Below are 6,332 nucleotides of genomic sequence, written 5' to 3' on the forward strand. Positions count from 1 at the left end.
ACTGGAACTCAAGACAGATATGTAGCAACCTACTTTTTTTTTTTTTTTTTTTGAGACAGAGTCTCACTCTGAGGCCAGGCTAGAGTGAGGGCAGTGGCACGATCTCGGCTTACTGCAACTTCTGCCGCCCAGGTTCAAGCGATTCTCCTGCCTCAGCCTCATGAGTAGCTAGGATTACAGGAGCCTGCCACTGCGCCTGGCTAATTTTTGTAGTTTTAGTAGAGACGGGGTTTCACTATTTGGCCAGGCTGGTCTTGAACACCTGACCTCGTGATCCACCCGCCTCAGCCTCCCAAAGTGCTGGGATTACAGGCGTGAGCCACCGCACCTGGCCTGGCAGTGACCTACTTAATGATAGCCTGGGAGCCATGAGCTAACTTGGTAAGAACAGAAGCTTTCATGGACTGAGACGGACTTTTGAATAGGAGTTAGAGAATTCGATTTCAAAGTGTTTCTATGACCCTGTCTGTGTTAGTTTCCTGTTTCTGCCTTAACGAATGACCACATATTTAGTGGCTTAACACAAATTTATCTTGCAGCCTCTGGAGGTCAGAAGTCTGAAATGGTCCAGGTGTCTGCAGAGCTGTGTTCCTTGTGGAGGCTCTAGGAGAGAATCTGCCTCTTGCCTTTTCCAGCTTCTTAAGGCTTGCGGCATGTCTTGGATCGGAGCCACACACTCTGACCTCCGCTTCCATTAGCACATTTCCCTCTCTGACGCTGACCCTTCTGCCGCCCTCTTGTAACGACGCTTGTGATTACATGGGGCCCACCGGATAATCCCGGATCATCTCTGAATCTCAAGATCCTTAATCACATCTGCAAAATCCTTTTTGCCTTGTAAGGTAACATATTTACAGCTTCCGGCGATTAGGAGGTGGACATCTGTGGTGGAGAGGTTATTCTGCCTATCACACTAAGAGAGAAATGATCTAGTTGACTTGAGTGTCCCAGGCCTTAACTATAATCCCTTTCATCTGTATAGCTTTCACACACATTCTTTTTTCCACCTTGCATCCATCCTGGAAAGTAGATGAAGGCTGTGCTGAGCCCATTCTGTGAGGGAGGAAGATGAAACTCAGAGCGGAGGCCTCGTGCTGGGTGACACAGCTAAAAAGAGACTCAGGCCCAGGGCTTTTGATTCAGCATCTGCCCCCTCAGTTCCCAGCCATGCATCACTAGAACACTATTCTCACCGATGGAGAAGGACAATTCCTCAGCTACCCCCACAATTTAGGAAGAAGTCCCCAAGGTGAACCAGCTCCCTCAGCCCTGAATCTGCCCTCAGAAGGTGGCCTTCTGCCCAGAGCGAGGATGGAGGGGTGCAGGCAGAGAACCATTTTTTTGGTGGAGGTCCACGGGACAGAGCCCAGAACTCAATGTCCATCCATCTTGGGCGTGTCCTCCCCAGCAGCCCAGGCTGACTGGACCGGCGCAGGAACTCCTGCATGCTCAGAGGGAGCCCTGATTCTTAGAACTGTCTTCTCATAGCAGTCTTCTTAGGAGTATGTTGCTGTGGTTTGTGATTCTGCCCCTGGGTGCTGCTGCATGGGAGGAGCCAGCTCTCTCCCTGCCCCACAGATCATGGAAGGCAGCGACCATAGGCTCACTGATGCTCCTGCAGGCTCCCTACACCCATCCATTAGGATGGCCCACATGTGCCAGCCAGGAATGGGGGACACAGCCATGAAGCCGACAGATAGGCTCCTGCACCTCTGGAACTTGTGCTTTAGCGGGGCAGACAGATCCCACAGAAGTGTATGTGTAGGAGTTCTGAGGATGACAAAAAGGATGAGGCAATAGAAGGTGACTGTGACCTTGTGAGACAGGCACTGTCCCCAGTCTATCACTCTATTTTTGTTTCTTTGGGTTTTTTTGAAGCAGGGTCTCGTTCTGTCACTCAGGCTGGAGTGCAGTGGTGCAATCATAGCTTACTGCAGCCTTGATCTCCTGGGCTCCAAGCAAGCCCCCTGCTTCAGCCTCCTGAGTAACTAGGACTCCAGACACACACAAACACCACACCCGGCTAATTTTCAAAATGTTTATTTTTAGTACAGACGGGGTCTTACTATGTGGCCCAGGCTGGTGTCAAGCTCCTGGGCTCAAGTGATCCTTCTGCTTTGACCTTCCAAAGTGCTGGGATTGCATGTGTGAGCCACCATGCCTAGTTCACTGTCCCCACTCTAAAGCAGACAGCCCAAGTGGGGGCAAAGTTGAGAAGCAAACACACACTGTACTCCAAAGCCTCTGAAAATCCCTCCTTGTGTCCTTCCTAAGAAGGTCCCAGAGTCTCTGTGTCATCCCTGAAGCTGAAGTCAGTCCATTCTGGGAGCAGAGTCCAGCTGTGTCCTGTGTTTGGGGCTAAGAAGAATGTGAGATTCCTGCTGAGTGTGAGCTGAGCAAGGTTGTAGTAAGGAGGGCAGTGATGTGATGCATTGTTTAAGGGGTGCAGCTGCCAGATGTGAGTGGGTGAGGGCAGATGTGAGGGGCATCAGCCAGCTATGTGTGGGGGTGGTCAGACCTGGTTGGGGAGGCACAATGGAAACAATAGGGGAGCAGGCCAGGTGGGTATGCGAAAGTGAGACAGAGTGGCAGGATGAACCGGGAGGGGGATCAGATGTGAGGGGCTGGAGAATAGATGACCCCGAGCCTCAGTCTTTAGGAGGGTGGCTGTCCCTGGGAAATGGATGATGCGGTCTGTGGAGGAAATGCGCTTTCTATTTAGGGAGGCTGTTTAGGAGTAGCTGACGACATGCTCAGCACCTGGATGGGTGGAAATAAACAGAGACATGAAGCAATAATTTATGCCGTGTCCTCTGTCAACCTAGCCACCACCTCCTCCTCCCTGGGCTCCAGGAAGTTGCTCAGAGTTGTGGCGCTGGGAGGAGACTGCGGGAGCTATGCTGGTGAAGCGATGCTGTCATCTGAGCTTGTGCTTTACACACACTGGGCTTTTTTTTTTTTTTTTTTTTTTGAGACAGAGTCTTGCTCTGTCACCCTAGGCTGAAGTGCAGTGGCGCAATCACAGCTCACTGCAGCCTCGACCTCCCAGGCTCAAGCAATGCATCCACCTCACTCTCTTGAGTAGCTAGGACCACAAGGGCATGGCACCACATCTGGCTAATTTTTAGAAATTTTTTTGTAGAGACGGGGTCTCACTATGTTGCCCGGGCTGGTCTCAAACTCCTGGGCTCAAGTGATCCTCCTGCCTCAGCCTCCCGAAGTGTTGGGATTATAGGCACAAGCCATCATGCCCAGCCCCCTCCAGGCCTTTGTACCTTCTGTGTCCTCACCTGGAGTACCTGCCCCCTGAACTACCCATTGAACTCTTTATTTAGTGGCCCACCTCCTCTAAGAAGTGCTACCTCCTCTAAGAAGGCCCCCCTCATATCCAGTCTGTGGTTCCTAAATTGCAGCTAATGACTACCCCATGAGCTCACACATTAGAGTTGGAAATCTACTTTCAAATGACCCCACTTTGTGTCTAAAGCACTCTGACCTTCTTCTACCCCCACCCCAGTCGCACATCAGTGAGCTTCAGGGAATCTCTGGAATTGAATACAAAGTCATGTGCAAAATCAGATGTGCAAATGTATGGATAAACAAAATACAGTATACCCATAAACGAAATATTATTCAGCCACGAAAAGGAATGGAGTCACTGATACGTGTTAAGTGAAAAAAAAAAAAACAGACAGAAAAGGCCAAATATTGTATGATTCCATTGATATGAAGTATCAAGAATAGGCAAATCAGTAAAGACAGAAAGGAGCTTAGCGATTGTTAGGGGATGGGGGTCGGGGCTGGGGAATGACTGGTAGAGGGTTTCCTTTGGGGATGATGAAAACATTCTGGATGTAGGTAGTGTAGGTAGTGGTGATGGTGGCACTACATTGTGTGTGTACTAAATGTCACTCAGTTGAATATATTAAAATGGTGACTTTTATGTTATGTGTATTTTACAACAGTTTTAAAAAAAGTCAAATGCACGTTTCTCAGGAGAAGATTCCTAGGTTTGATTGGCTTCTCAAAAGGTGAAGCAGCTCTGATCTGGTCTGGACCCCTTCATGTCATGATGCAGATGGTGATACTGGGACACAGACAGGGGGTGAGACCTGTCCAAGGTCACTCAGGGGCTGGTGGCAGAGCCCAGCCAGGTTGCATGCCTGCCTGACCACATACTCCCCTACCTGCTTCTTCCCTTGTCCTTTGGTCACCAAACCCTCCCGTCACAATCCCCAAGCCTCTGTCCTGCTCCCAAACATGCCACCCACAAGCTGTGTAACTTCCCAAAGTTAAAAGGCCTTCTTCCTGAAACTGGGTGCACGGATTAGAGTTTCATGAGCGTTTGTCTTTTGCTCTAGAGTGGACTCTGAGCTCCTAGAGGGCAAGAGGAAATGTTTCTTATTTTCCTCCATATCTTACAGAGCTTCTGGGACAGCCACGGAGGTGAGCCATTCCTGTCTCCCTTCAAGAAAGAACTTGCCATTCACCCTCAAGGAGGGCAGTTAGCTGACAACTTCTAACAAACATTCTTTGCCCAGAGGACATGCTGGGTTGGCCAAGACTTTGTTAGATCTGCAGCACAGTCTGAGGCTCTCCCAGCCCTTTCCTGCTTCCTCTCCCTCACCGGCCTTGCCACTACCCCCTCTCTCCGCAATAAACCTCTTGCGGTCCTATGTTCATCTCAGTGCTTGCTTCCTGGAGGACCCACATGGCACAGCACCTAGCCTGCTGGATCATAAGTGCTCAGTCGCGAAGTAAACGGAACTGGGGATTCTCTAGAGGGTAGAGGGAAGCCAGAGCCTGGGCCTCGGAGAGCAGGAGAGGGGCTGTCCGTGGAGGATGCCTCAGTCATAAGGAGAGCAAGGTCTAGAGCAGTGTGAAGAAGGGGCCATGGCCCTGGAGCAGGACCCAGCAACGGGCAACACACAGGGAACTCAGGGATTCACCAGCACTGCTGGCATCGTCTCTAGCTCCTCCGCTGTCTGGGGCAGCTCTTGCAAACTCAGAAATGTCCCAGGAGACAGGGTTCAAAGAGCCCTGGCCTTGGACTTTAGAAAACCAGGTTCAATTTGTGCTTCCCGCTAGTCAGGTGACATTACACCCTTCTCTCTGGAGCTCAGTTTCTCCGTTTGTAAAATGGGCTTATAATGTGTCCCCTCCCTTCAACCCCAGCATGATTTTGAGAATTGACTGAGAAGATACTACAGTTTATGGAGGGCACCCTGTTTCGTAGTTTAAATGCACACTCAGGCCAGGTGAGGTGGCTCATGCTTGTAATCCCAACACTTTGAGAGGCCAAGGCGGGAGGATCGCTTAAGCCCACGAGTTCAAGACCAGCCTGAACAACATAGCAAGACCCTGTCTCTACAAAAAATTTAATAATTAGCTGGGTGCAGTGGCACATGCCTGTAGTCCCAGCTACTCGGAAGGCTAAGGCAGCAGGATCATTTAAGCTCAGGAGTTTGAAGCTGCAGTGAGCTATGATTGTGCCACTGCACTCCAACCTGGGCAACAGAGTGAGATACTCGCTAAGAAAAAGAAATACATACATATTCATTTAACCCTGGCAGTGGCCTTGTGAGAGCAGCATTATGACCTCCATTTTATGTATGTATATATGTATGTATGGATGTATGAGATGGGGATCTCACTTTGTTGCCCAGGCTGGAGTACAGTGGTGCAATCAGAGCTCACTGCAGCCTGGACCTCCTGGGCTCAAGCAATCTTCCTGCCTTAGCCTCCAGAGTAGCTAAGACTACAGGTGTGGGCCACCAAAGCCAGCTAATTAAAAAAAAATTTTTTTAGGCTAGGCACGGTGGCTCACGCCTGTAATCCTAGCACTTTGGGAGGCCGAGGCGGGCAGATCACGAGGTCAGGAGTTCGAGACCAGCCTGACCAACTGGTGAAACCCCATCTCTACTAAAAATACAAAACTTAGCCAGGCATGGTGGCACTCGTCTGTAATCCCAGCTACTCAGGAGGCTGAGGCAGGAGAATCGCTTGAACCTGGGAGGCAGAGGTTGCAGTGAGCCGAGATGGCACCACTACACTCCAGCTTGGGCACAGAGCAAGACTCCGTCTCAAAAAAAAAAAAAAAAAAATTTTTTTTTTTTTTTAGAATGGAGTCTCCCTACGTTGCTCAGGTCAATTTTGAACTCCTGGCCTCAACCAATCCTCCTGCCTCAGCCTTCTAAAGCACTAGGATTGTAGGCCTGAACCACTGTGCCCAGCAGAGAAAACCGGCTCTCTAGGTCAAGGCATTGGCTCAAGAACACACAGCTAACAAGCCGACATAGCTGGGATTAGAACCCAATTGTCTGGCTCTAGAA

This window comes from Homo sapiens, chromosome 17 (genome assembly GCF_000001405.40).
Source record: "Homo sapiens chromosome 17, GRCh38.p14 Primary Assembly".
Taxonomy (NCBI): Eukaryota; Metazoa; Chordata; class Mammalia; order Primates; family Hominidae; genus Homo; species Homo sapiens.